The 14,353-nt window shown below is 39.7% G+C and overlaps 1 protein-coding gene across 4 annotated transcripts in view, besides 1 other annotated feature; it reads left to right on the forward strand.

Annotated features, from left to right (window-relative positions):
* The window catches only part of ARHGAP42 (Rho GTPase activating protein 42), a 306,654-nt gene that overhangs the window by 114,486 nt on the left and 177,815 nt on the right, over window positions 1-14,353 (forward strand). The window lies entirely within an intron of this gene.
* Window positions 3,805-4,099: an enhancer, noted in NCBI's record as "tiled region #13184; K562 Activating DNase matched - State 9:DNaseU". NCBI's record gives its function as "activates a minimal TATA promoter and a strong SV40 promoter by Sharpr-MPRA in K562 cells {active_cell/tissue: K562}" and the evidence as "EXISTENCE:reporter gene assay evidence [ECO:0000049][PMID:27701403]".

The raw sequence follows: 14,353 nt of genomic DNA on the forward strand, positions 1-14,353 counted from the left end.
ATAATGCAGGATTTTCCACAGTGTGGATTGACACCTGCCATCATGTGGCTAGGCAGAGATCAGCATTTTAATGGCACAAATATAAGAAATAATCTAAAAGCTCTTTGTACTGACCTTAATAAAATGTTTATTACTTAAAAGGTGAGGATCTGGTATCGATTATTGATATATGCTTTTTAAAAAGTGCGTCTTTATTGGAAATGCTAGAATTTTTCCACATAAAATGCAGCACTTAAATGATTTGGGTTAGAAGGTGTCATTGATTAGGTGTCTTTGTGGTCAGACTCAGACTACCTCTAATACAGAGAGGGGCTTCTAAACCATGTAAACTTTGTGGTAACGTCTTCTCAGTTTCTGTACCACCATAGAAACCAGTCTTTTTCTTTAGATCACAGCTAACTTGGCTTTAAATGCCACCATTTCGTCTTAGGCTGTTCAAAATTAATTTGAACCAATGTTAACATAACAAGAGAACTCCCTGGAAAAGGATGAAATGCTAAGTTTTGGCCTTCTAGAAGAGATCTAGGTAACCTCTTCTTTGTTGTTTGTATTGAAATAGTGAAGTTGACTCTCGCCTCCATGCCACTGGAGGTGATAGTGCCTCCCCTTAAATCCCTGGAACTTCATCCACCTCCATTTCTCCTTTCTTTCTTTTTTTTTTTTTTTTTTGAGGCAGAGTCTCACTCTGTCTCCCAGGCTGGAGTGCAGTGGTGCGATCTTGACTCACTGCAGCCTCCACCTCCCAGGTTAAAGTGATTTTCGTGCCTCAGCCTCCTGAGTAGCTAGGACTACAGGCGCACGCCACTACACCTGGCTAATTTTTGTATTTTTGTTTTTTTAGTAGAGATGAGGTTTCACCCTGTTGGCGAGTCTCAAACTCTTGGCCTCAAGTGATCCACCCGCCTCGGTCTCCCAAAGTGCCGGGATTACAGGCGTGAGCCACTGAGCCTGGCCTGGCCCTTCTTAATACACTCCCTCTTGCCTGTTCTCCAGCCCTATGGGTTTCTTTCTATTCCTCTTTGTGTGTCACTACAGGCTTCTTTTGAACTTACAGCTTTGTCCTTTCCTCTGCCTTGAACATCCTCATCCATATCCTGTCATGATTGGCTCCCTCTTGTCACACAGGCTTCATCCCACATATCTCCCCTGGCCTCCTGCCCTTTCCATATAGCCTTAGTTTAGTCCCCTTGAGTTCTAACATTATAACAGAAATACCTGCGCTCATGAAGCTTGCATTCTAAGGGGAAGAAACAAACATTAAACAAATTATGTCTGGTGGTGATAAATGCTAAAAAGAAAAATAATGGAGCTGGTGGGGGATGTTGCTGTTTATGAAGATGCCTGTAATCTCAGCACTTTGGGAGGCCAAGGCAGGAGGATGGCTTTGAGGCCAGGAGTTAGAGACCAGCATGGGCAACATAGTGAGATCCAATCTCTACTAAAAAAAAAAAAATTGGATAGATTTAGATGCGTACTGTATATCTAAGTAGGCTTGTTTGGGGAGTAACTAGATATATGGGTCTAGCATTCAGGGGAGGAGCTGGGGCTGGAGATATAAATTTAGGAGTTGTCAACATGTGTGAGGCATTTAAAGCTATAGGAATGGGTGAGATCACCCAGGCTAAGAGTATGAGACAGAAGAGAAAGGGTGGGAGGATAGAGCTCTGAGGTTCATCGAGTCCACAGTTTGATCAGATGTGGTAGAATCAAGGTAGAGTCTAATGTCCTCCTAGGGAGACATTAGATCAATAGGAGAACTGAGAGGAAGCTTTTTGGATGGCTTGGTCAAAGCCCCGTTTCTTCACTTGCATGTAGTAGAGATGTGGGACCATAACAGACATAGGTGGTGGACCCAGTGGCTGCAGCATTCCTTAGGACAGAAGGTCCAAATTATCTGGTCCACTTTATGCTCCTCCTTTACCCTCCAATCATTGTCTGACCCCTGGGCCCCTCACTTTCTAGTATAGTCCCTGACCTTGACAAATGATTTCTTATGTGTTTAGCAATGTAGATTTTTTTTCTTGGCTATATCTTTGTCACCAGTGGGGGAAGCTTCAACTTCAAAATATTTTATCTAGGGTTTATCTTAAAGAATTTATACCAGTGAACTTATTTCTTTTATTTTTCATTTTGATGAACATGAGAACTATCATTGCCCACAACATTTCACATTTGCCTTTGACCTGTGTAAGTTACAAATTTTGCTTTAGGTTTTCCAGAACTGTATATTTTTTTAGAGACAGAATCTCACTCTGTCACCTGGGCTCGTCACTGTAGCCTTGGATTCTTAGGCTCAAGTGATCCTCCTGCCTCAGCCTCCTGGGTAGCTAGGACTATAGGCACATGCCACCATGGGCAGCTAATTCTCAAGTTTTTATCTTTTTATTTTTATTTTTCAGAGATTGTGGGTCTCACCATATTGCATAGGCTGGTATTGAACACCTGACCTCAAGTAATGATTTCACCTCGGCCTCTCAAAGTACTAGGATTGCAGGCATGAGCCACTGTGCCCAGCCTGTCTTTTTATCCTTGAGTAATAAAAGTACTTCCCTGAAATGAACTAGCTGTCTGGGTATTATTTTGGGACAAAAAAAAATTATAGGAGGACTTAGAAGAAAAATTTATAACCTTCATTAAAATTTAAATAATATTTTCTTTATAAGACTATTAAGGCCTCTGTTTTTCTTTCACTTTTGTTTTAAAACATAAAGTTAATAAAGATTAATGGGAGTAAAATCAGAATAGTTTTAGATGTATATTTTTTAATTTTTAAATTTTTTTTTTTTTTTTAGTCAGAGTCTCGCACTGCCACCTGGGCTGGAGTGCAATGGCAGGATCTAGGCTCAATGCAACCTCAGCCTCCCGAGTAGCTGGGATTACAGGCGCCTGTCACCATGCCCAGCTAATTTTTTGTATTTTTATTAGAGATGGGGTTTCACTATGTTGGCCAGGCTGGTCTCAAACTCCTGACCTCGTGATCCACCCGCCTTGGCCTCCAAAAGTGCTGGGATTACAGGCGTGAGCCACCGTACCTGGCCTAGATATTTAAGAAAGAAAAAAGTGTGTCGGTAACGTCATTTGATTTTGAGCTTTCGTGTGAGCCTCAAAAGATGTGAAGAATCTATTAGTGGTGGTCAGTACATTAGACATCAGGAATATGTGTCTGTTGAACACCTGAAATGTGTTTGTTGTTATGTGCCTTGCATTATATTTCTATGGGGCAGCACTGCTTTAGATGATGATAGCAACTGACACTGAGCATTCCAAGGTGCAAGGCACTGCTGCAGTTGCTTCATGTGTTTCAACTAATTTAATATGAACAGCAGTCTTCAGAAGTGTATGCTATTAATATACCCATTTCAAAGTGTATGCTATTAATATAGCCATTTCAAAGAAGAGGAAACTCAAAGGCACATAACTAATACGTGGTACCGCAAGGGTTTGAACCCATGCTGTGGGGATCTGGAGCCTTCATATAAATCACAGTGTCACAAATTAAGACTCTATTTCAATTACAGATTCCATTAATAACAATAACTAACATATATTGTTGATATCATATGTAAGATGTGCTAATAAGTACTTTAGATGTATTACTTCAATATCTTACAAAAATTAGGGAAGAAGGGAAGAAGATAGTCATAAGTTTTGAAATTATCTTAATTTTCAATAAGTTCATCATATTGTTACTGAAAAGGGATCCCGATCCAAATCCCAAGAGAGGGTTCTTGGACCTTGTGCAAGACAGAATTTGGGGCGAGTCTGTAAAATGAAAGTTATTATAGGTGTAAAGAAACAAAAGAATGGCTACTTCATAGGCAGAGCAGTGGCATGGGCTGTTCAACTGACTATACTTATAGTTACTTCTTGATTATATGCTAAACAAGGGGTGGAGTATTCAGGAGTTTTCTGGGAAAGGGGTGGACAGTTCCTGGAACTGAAGGTCCCTTCCCTTTTTAGACCATGTAGGGTAACTTCCTGACATTGCCATAGCATTTATAAACTGTCATGGTGCTGGTGGGAGTGCCTTTTAGCATGCTAATGCATTATAATTAATGTATAATGAACAATGAGGATGACCAGAGGTCCCTTTTGATGCCATCTTGGTATTGGTGGGTTTTGGCTGGTTTCTTTACTGCATCCTGTTTTATCAGCAAGGTCTTTATGACCAGCATCTTGTGCCAACCTTCACTCCTCATCCTGTGACTAAGAATCCCCAACCTCCTGGGAAAGTAGCCCAGTTAAGTCTCAGCCTTATTTTACTCCACCCCTATTCAAGATGGACTTGCTGTGGTTCAAATGCCTCTGATAATACTTAGTCATATATTTCTATGAAAACTTTATCCATCAATCCTTTGACAGTTCCCACATTAAATTTTTGACATGTAAGATCTAAAAATGTTCAGTGAATCTGATAAACCTATTTAAGTCTTTCCCCCATTCTTGAACCCAGAATTTATGAAGTAGTAGAATATTTTAAATATCGAAAGAATTACGTATCCCCATTTCTCTTGATGAAAGATTTCCCTTTATTTATTATTTTTGCCGTACATCTTTGCTTTGCGGATATGCCCTCGATAGGTGATACTGATTAATCTTAAGTTTCTGGCTTTGGTGCTGTTATATGCTTAAGTGCGATTATCTGTGAAGTAATACAGTTTCTTTTATTGTCTCAGATAAATGAGGCACAGTATGCCAAAATTCCACATGTATGAAAACGGATTATGTTTCTGGTATGTCTTAGGTTAACTTTAATTAGAAACAAATTTTAGGTATGTTGGCCTCCATAGCAACATTCTTCTACAGTGATTTCACCTGAAATTAAAAAAAATAATAATAAATCATCTCAGTGTCCTACATGCATAAAGTTCTGATTTTCACATTTACTGAATTGTGGATGCTTTCCATCTCCTGATTTCCAGTTTTCTGGTGAAATATTAAGGTAAGAGTGAGAGGTGGTAGATCATATACAGTTTATCATAACTGCAATAATAGTGGCTTTTATATTTTAGTGCTAATAATCATAAAATTCATTTTTAAATTTTTTATTTGTTTGTTTGTTTGTTTATTTATTTATTTATTTATTTATTTTTGGGACAAGTCTCACTTTGTTGCCCAGGCTGGAGTGCGTTGGCACCGTCTTGGCTCACTGCAACCTCTGCCTTCCGAGCTCAAGTGATTCTTGTGCCTTGACCTCCCAAGTAGCTGCCATTATAGCTGCCCGCCACCACGCCTGGCTAATTTTTGTATTTTTAATAGAGACGGGGTTTCACCGTGTTGGCCAGGCTGGTCTCGAACTCCTGACCTCAGGTGATTGACCTGCCTTGGCCTCTCAAAGTCTGGGGATTACAGGCATGAGGCACCATTCCTGGCCCCTCATTTGTATTTTTTAATTGTGCAAAGAGCTTTTATATACATTTTCTTTTTTTTTTTTCTTTTGAGACAGACTTTTGCTCTTGTTGCCCAGGCTGGAGTGCAATGGCACGATCTCGGCTCACTGCAACTTCCGCCCCCCAGGTTCAAGAGATTCTCCTGCCTCAGCCTCCTGAGTAGCTGAGATTACAGGCATGCATCAACATGTCTGGCCAATTTTTGTATTTTTAGTAGAGATAGGCTTTCACCACGTTGGCAAGGTTGGTCTCGAACTCCTGACCTCAGGAAATCCACCCGCCTCGGTCTCCCAAAGTGCTAGGATTACAGGCGTGAGCCACCGGGTCCGGCCTTTTTATATACATGTTATTTGATCCTTACAACAATCTGAAACAGCACAGCCTGTAAATGAGTTACTCAGTGTGATGTCGACCTCCAGTAAGTGACCACACTTTACATATAGGACCCAGTTCCAGGAGTTGGGGCTTGCAGCTCATTGTTCTGTTCTATCCCATGTCTTCTCTGGGAAGACATGGGATATGAGCTGCCACACAACACCTGCACTTCTGATCTCTTTCCTCGCATCTCTAGTTCTTTCATTTTCCTGCCTTTGGCATTTATCCTAGTTTTATACGTTTTACTTTGGAGTCTTGTAATTGCACATCATATTGAAATCTTTCCATTTTTATCTTTGCACTTTTGGAAATACATTTACTCTCTGCTGTTGGCCATCACTTTCCATTGGTACAGTTGGGGAAGTGCTAGTCTTTATTCCATTCATAAACCATGTTTTGATGTTCTTCTTTGATACTTGGGAAGCACAAAGATACTTTGATAATATAAAAGGTAAATGTATATAAAGTTAGTGTGTAACTGTCCCTTAAAAGTTTAACATCTGGGTGAGGCACTCAATTTTAAAGGACAGAAAAATAAACCTAAATAGGCATGAGGTAGACTAGCAAAATACCTATAAAAGATATCCTGAAGGGAAATTTTAAATAATGGTAACAAAGCTATGGATGAATGGGAAATATCAGCTGACAGACCAACCAGATATTCAGAAATAAGGGAACATTTTTTGGTTAGCACAATGCTTTTTGTCTTTGCTTCTGATTAAACCATAGAGTATATTTATGCACTACAGAAGAAAATGCAAATTTAACTTGATAATTTGATACATGTAATTTCAAGAGAAAGGGCAACAAAAGCTTTTTAAAATTAAACTTTTTTTGGGATAATTATAAATTCACTCTTTTTTTTTTTTTTTTTTTTTGAGACGGAGTCTCGCTCTGTCGCCCAGGCCGGACTGCGGACTGCAGTGGCGCAATCTCGGCTCACTGCAAGCTCCGCTTCCCGGGTTCACGCCATTCTCCTGCCTCAGCCTCCCGAGTAGCTGGGACTACAGGCGCCCGCCACCGCGCCCGGCTAATTTTTTGTATTTTTAGTAGAGACGGGGTTTCACCTTGTTAGCCAGGATGGTCTCGATCTCCTGACCTCATGATCCACCCGCCTCGGCCTCCCAAAGTGCTGGGATTACAGGCGTGAGCCACCGCGCCCGGCCAAATTCACTCTTAACTATAAAAAATAACTAGAAATCGGGTGTATTCTTTACTGACAATTTCTCCCAATGTAATACCTCATAAAATTATAGTAAATAGTTCATTACATTTTACTTGTTATAATAGTAATTAAAAATAACAAATTATTCATAAATGTTCCCTTTTTCCTGGAATCAGGATTCATAATTTGAAAAGCCTAACTCTTAGGGGTTCTTATCAAGATGCTATGTTACTTCATCCTGTGATTTATCTGTGTGTCACCCAGGATACTCATTTGCAAGTCAAACAGGAAATTGGTTGGAAAGACATTGGGGCATCTCATTTATCTGTGAGAGGGCCCACATTGCTTGTGGGATTAAGAAACAGCCAGAATCACAAACTCTAAGGCCTCTAAGAGGTTTTTTATCTTTGCCTCTCATTTGCTTATCGGCCTCATTCTGTTAGCTGGCTTCTTCCACATGGTGAGTCATAAGCATTGTACTAAAACTCACAGAAATTGTTTCTAGATAGGATTGTCTAGTTTTTCATTTTAAGACAAGATGAAGAAGAAAGAAAAAGAAAAAAAGAAAGGTAGGAGAGGCTCTGATTGGCCCAGCTAAGGTCACTTAAAGACGCTTGACCAATTACCCAAGGTTAAAGGGACAGAATATGTTGCATAGACTTTCCTTTGAATATAGAGCTATTTTCAGAAACAAAGGAATTATTATGAGTTAGGCAATCACTCCAACTCTTGTCTATTGTAATATGGCAATGACCTTGAGAAATTTCCGGTTAACATTGTCATTTGAACAGAATACTATGATAGTTGTGTATGAAATTTTACAAGACTTAGAAACATGTTAATTCACTCAAACATTAGAAACATTTACTTAAAAATTAGGAGTCACACAAAGATGTACACTATTACTGTTTAAATTCAAAATTGTTTTGGAGGGCCTCTAGTCTGTTCAGTAATATGAAACCAGAGGCAGGCTGGGTGTGCTGTGTTACTCCTGTAATCCCAGCATTTTGGGAGGCCAAGGTGGGTGGATCGCATGAGCCCAGAAGTTTGAGACCAGCCTGAGCAACATAGTGAAACCCTGTTTCTGCAAAAAATACAAAAATTAGCTGGGCATGGTATCACAGCTACTTGGGAGGCTGAGGTGGGAAGATCACTTGAGCCCAGGAGGCGGAAGTTGCAGTGAGCCAAAATTGTGCCACTGCACTCGAGCCTGGGTGACAGAGCAAGACTCTGTCTCCAAAAAAAAAAGAGAAGCCAGAGGCATAAAAATCTAAGACTTAAAATGAAAGAAACAAAATTGTCATATTATGATATGATTTTCCACATAGAAAATTGCAAATAATCTATAAATTATTAGAGATAAATAAGAGAGGTTAGCTAGGTTAATAGATGTAAATTAATTATATTTCTGAACAGAACCTTTAAAAAGTGGCAAAAAAATAAGAGACTCAAGGATAACTAAACAAAGGATGTGCAGGACTTACATGTGTAAAATTAAAAAAAAATATAAAGATAGTAAAGGGGAACTAAATAAACAGAAAACCAATCAATGAGTCAGTTCAAAAGAATGGTTTTAACCAACATTCTTTTTTCCCCTGACTATACTAGACAAGATAATTTACTGTAATAATTCAACTGATAGCAATTTGGTTAACTTGTTTTTACTAGTGTAGTGGTTAACCACCGGCTGGTCCTGAAGCTAGTGTATTTCCTTTTTTCATTTGGAAAATGTGGCCACCGTATGAAAACCTTACCTTTTTTACATTCCAAACTTCTGCCAAACCTTTGTATCTTTCACATATTTTCAACAGCAGATACACTGCTATTTGAAAAATGAAAAATGATGTACTCTTCATTTGCATAACCATATCTAACTGCCTTGGTGGAAAAAAAACTGTGCTACGTAGTAGTTGCTTTATTTCTATTGAGGGAAAATAAAATATCCCCTCCCATCTGAGACTTTTAATTCTATTCACTTTACATTTTACCTACAGAATTATTTCTATTACCACAGGTAACAGAATACTATGTAAGTGATGCAAATAAAATAACATGTGTTTTCAGGATCAGCAGGAAACCAGAACACAAACTGGGAAAGTCTAGGTCCTAATTAATTATTGACATCTAGTAAAGTTTTAAGCTCCTTGAGACTTTGTTTTCTTTTTTTATAAATGAGGAGTGTTCAGCATTTCCCAAAGTGTAAAATGAAAACCACCAGCAATAAAATGAACATTTTATTTATTTATTTATTTTATTTATTTTGGTGGGGAGGGACAGAGTCTCACTGTGTTACCCCGGCTGGAGTGCAGTGGTGCAACCTTGGCTCACCGCAACTTCCGCCTCCTGGGTTCAAGTGATTCTCCTGCCTCAGCCTCTTCAGTAGCTGGCATTACAGGCATGCGCCACCACGCCCAGCTAATTTTTGTATTTTAAGTAGAGATGGGGTTTGACCATGTTGGCCAGGCTGGTCTCAAAGTCCTGACCTCAGGTGATCCGCCCACCTCAGCCTCCCAAAGTGCTAGGATGATAGGCGCGAGCTACCATGCCTGGCCAGAATAAACATTTTAAATGTTAGTAGTTCCATATTTATTTCAATGTGTATTGGATACAGAACAACTCTGGATTTAATGAAAATTGTTGCTTTGTAGGATGCTTAGTAAAAGAAGTAAATCCATTTATAAGGAAAAATGTAGGACATGGCCATGGCCAAAATCACGGAAGTAGAATGTGAATGACTAGAGTTTGGGAATTCATGGAGTAGGTGATCTATGTTGCTTCTGCCTCGAATGTCTTGACTTTCTTTTTTTTTTTTTTCTTTGGAGATGGAGTCTTGCTCTGTTACCCAGACTGGAGTGCAGTGGTGTGATCTCGGCTCACTTCAACTCCCCCGGGCTCAAGTGATTCTTCTGCCTTAGCCTCCTGAGTAGCTAGGATTATAGGAGTGCACCACCACGCCTGGTTAAGTTCCATATTTTTAATAGAGATGGGGTTTCATCATGTTAGCCAGGCTAGTTTCAAACTCCTGACCTCAAGTGATCCGCCTGCCTCGGCCTCCCAAAGTGCTGGGATTATAGGCATGAGCCACTGAGCCCAGCCCGGATGTCTTGATTTGATTGTCTTCTGTGACTGTATACTTTGCTGAACAGTGTCAATGATTAGCCCTGAGTTCACTACCTCATTTATGGAGCTTACACTTAAAAACTGCTGCCAAAAACTGATTTCTTTTCAATTTCTTTTTTAAAACAATTTTTTAATGTTATATTTTTATTGCTTTTCATAGAGATGGGGTCTCTCCCCATGTTGCCCAGGCTGGTGTTAAACTCCTGGGCTCAAATAATCCTCCCACCTAGGCCTCCCAAAGTGCTAGGATTACAGATATGAGCCACCGTGCCTGTCCCTCTCTTCAGTTTCTTATGAATGAATGAGCCTTCATATAGTGAACACATTAATAATAGGTTCAGCCAGGTTCTGCTTATATCTTTTGCTTAAAGACACAAGCTGTAAACTGTAGGATTTGGAAAACTTTATAGCAAAGCGGATGGTGGACCATAGCATAGTTTCATTTTTATTTACAAAACAGACGAAATTTATGGGATTTTATACCCAGAAGTAGTTGGAAAGGATAGCAATAATTTATTTTCAACAAATATTTATTAATCTCTTTCTCTGGGCTGGATATTGCTCCAGAGCTGAGAATACAACTCTGGTCAAAAAGAGCTTCTGCCTTCCAGTTGGCAGAAACAGACATAACAAAGAAGAAAGTCAAAATGTATTATCAGATGGTGATATATACTCTGGAAAAAGGGAGATAAACTAGGATAGGTAGCAGAGGGGGCTGTAGGTGAGTTTTTAATGTCAGGAAATCAAGGAAGGCCTCAGTGAGTAAATGTCATTTAAGCAGAGACCTGACAAAGAAAGAAGTCAGTCTTACAACTCTCTTGGGAAAATGCTTTTCAGGTTGCCCAGACAGCTTTACAGCAGCAAGTACAAAGGTCCTGAGGCTGGAAAGTGCTCGGACTGTTTGAGGAGGAGCATAGGCAAATATGGCTAAAGCACAGGAACAAATGGGAAAGTGGGAAGAGATAAAGTGTGGTTGATTGGGCGGGGGGATTATGAAGAATATGTAGGACTCTTTAGGCCTTGTAAGGAATTAGACTTTTGCTCTGTAGAAGGGTCTTTCAGCAGAAGTGTGACATGAACTGATTTAGGAATTTAAAGGACTACCCTAATTGTTATGCAGACTGTAGAGGACAAGACTGTGTGCTGAGCTCCCCTTAGGAGGCTGTTTTCGTTATTTCATTACTTAAAAGACAATGATAATTTGCACCAGGATGAAAGTAGTGGAAGTGGTAGAAGTGTTCAGATGCTAGGTTTATTTTGCAGGTGATACTAAGAGGATTTGCTCATTGATCAAATGTAGATTGCAAGAGAAAGGGAGGCGGCAATGATGTGTCATTGGTAGGATTTCTCCACCTCAGCACTGTTGATATTTTGGAACAGATATGTTTTTGTTATGGGGGTCTGTCCTGTGCATTGTAGGATGTTTAGCAATATCCCACACCTCTATGCTCTTGAGGTACTCTACTTCCCCTTAAATTGTGACAACCAGTGTCTCCAGACATTTTGTCCCTCAGGGGTCAAAGTCAACCAGTTGAAAACTACTCATTTAAGGTTTTAAGCCTGATGAGATTCTGAGATGGAGGGACTGTAGGGGGTAACAGGTGTGGTGAGTGTTATCAAGCATTTTCTTTTGGACATGTTAAATATTAGCCAAATGCAGTGTTGAGTGGAAACCAGGGGAGAGATCAGAGCTGGAAAAAGAAATTTGGAAATCACCAATGTATAGATGGTATTTAAATTCACTTTTGTCATTGAATGAGATTATGCAGAGAGTGAGAGTGAATTAGGTGATGAGCTCCTTTGACTCTCCAGGGTCCGCCATGTGGTTAACAATAGTTATATCTGGCCAGTCTCAGAAATTTTTTGCTCTTGTAAGTAGACTTAATAAGACTTCCACAGTGTGTTAACTCAAACAATCCACTTGCTTTCTCTGAATCCCTCTAATAGGTATATATTGCTATATTTTCTATTCTTGAGAGAAAAAACTAAAATACAAATACTTTTTCACCAACCCTTTTTAATAAGACTGGCGGCAACATGTAAGTCACTTTGTCTTTTGATAGGTAGGAGGAATGAAAATAGCAGAACAGGCCGGGTGCAGTGGCTAACACCTGTAATCCCAGCACTTTGGGAGGGCGAAGCAGGTGGAGCATGAGATCGAGATCAAGACCATACTGGCCAACATAGTGAAATCCTGTCTGTACTAAAAATACAAAAAAATTAGCTGGGCATGGTGGCAGATGCCTGTAATCCCAGCTACTCAGGAGGCTGAGGCAGGAGAATTGCTTGAACCAGGGAGGCAGAGGTTACAGTGAGCAGAGGTCGCACCACTGCACTCCAGCCTGGGCATCAGTGCGAGACTCCGTCTCTTAAAAAAAAAAATATTAGCTGGGTATGGTGGCGTGCACCTGTAGTCCCAGCTACTTGGGAGGCTGAGGCAGGAGAATCACTTGAATCTGGGAGGCAGAGGTTGCAGTGAGCCAAGATCGAGATCACACCACTGCACTCCAACCTGGCGACAGAGCAAGACTCCGTCTCAAAAAAAAAAAAAAAAAGAAAAGAAAAGAAAATAGCAGAACAAAGGGCTCTCACTAACAGGCTTTGAAATCTAACTCTTTGGGCATAATAATGATTATATCCATTTCTAATATTAGGCCGTTCTCACATTGGTATAAAGAAATACATGAGACTGGGTAATTTATAAAGATAAGAGGTTTAATTGGCTCACAGTTCTGCAGGCTGTACAGGAAGCATAGCAACTTCTGCTTCTGGGGAGTCCTCAGGAAACTTACAGTCATGGCGGAAGTGGAAGTAGGAACATCTTACATGGCACAAACTGGAGGGAGAGAGAGATAGGGGAGGGGCTACAAACTTTTTAAAACAATCATATCTCATGAGAACTCTACCACAAGAACAGCACCAAAGAGATAGTGCTAAGCTATTCTTGAAGGATCCACCTTCATGATCCAGTCCCTTCTCACTAGGCCTCACTTCCAACACTGGGGATTACAGTTGAACATAAGATTTGGGTGGGGACACAGATCCAAACCATATCACTTAGTATGTACAGATATGTAGGAGCCTTCACATACGGTGTTTCTTCTTCCATTCGTCACTTGACTTAATCTTGTTCATTCTTCAGGCCTCAGTTTACATAAGATGTGAGTTGGCCTCATGGTGGACACTTCCCTTGGGCCCTCTAAAACAAGTGCTCCCTCTTATGGTGTCCAGTACTTTTTCTTTATGGAACTTACTATCTGTGACCATATACATGTTTGTGTTTTAGTTTGTCTCCATTAAATTGTATAACCTCTTTCAGCAGGACCCAAAATTATTTAACACTGCTGGTACCAAGTGCTTAGAACAGCAACATGGGATGTATGAAGGGTATTATATTGCAGGTTCCTTTTCCATTAGCCTTTGTTTCATAGACATCCTTGCACTGTTATACATCTACTCTTTCATTATGTGCGTGTATCATAATTTACCCAATCATTTCCATGTTGATAGTCATTTATGTAGGCTGGATTGCCTTCAAAAATCACCCTTTTTAAGGCAAATTGTGTGAAAGAGAAATAGAGTCTACATGCATGGAATTTTGGCCATGTTAATCACTGATGCTCTATTCTGTATAACTTACAACATTTATTTTCCCTTGAAAAATGCACTAAATCTAAGCTATGTTTGTTGCTCTGAGCCTAGTTCCCAGATAGATGTGCAGATATGTTTCTTCTTAGATGTGCAAAGAATTTTGAGTTAATGAGTCCAATTAGAGAATACCTAGAAGTGACATTAAATATTAACAACTTTGTTTTTCTGTAGTTGTAGTAAAATACACATTCCATATAATGTACCATCTTAACCAGTTTTAAGTGAACAGTGGAGTAGTATTAAGTATATTCACGTTATTATGCTACCAATCTCTAGAACTTGTCATCTTGCAAAATTGAAACTCTATACCATTACACAACAGTTCCCTATCTCCCCCTCCCCACAGCCCCTGGCAATCACCCTTCTACTTTCTGTTCCTAGGAGTTTGACTATTCTAGATACTATGTGCAAGTGGAATTATATAGTATTTGTCTTTTTGTGACTAGCTTTTTTCAGTTCACATAATGTCCTCAAGATTCATTCATGTTGTAGCATGCGTCAGAATTTCCTTCCTTTTCAAGGCTGAATAATATTCCATTGTATGTATACATTATATTTTGTTCATCTATTTATCCATGGAGGGACACTTGGATTGCTTCCACCTTTTAACTATTGTGAATAATGCTGCTTTGAGTATGGACATACAAATATG

Source organism: Homo sapiens, chromosome 11 (genome assembly GCF_000001405.40).
Source record: "Homo sapiens chromosome 11, GRCh38.p14 Primary Assembly".
NCBI classification, from domain to species: domain Eukaryota; kingdom Metazoa; phylum Chordata; class Mammalia; order Primates; family Hominidae; genus Homo; species Homo sapiens.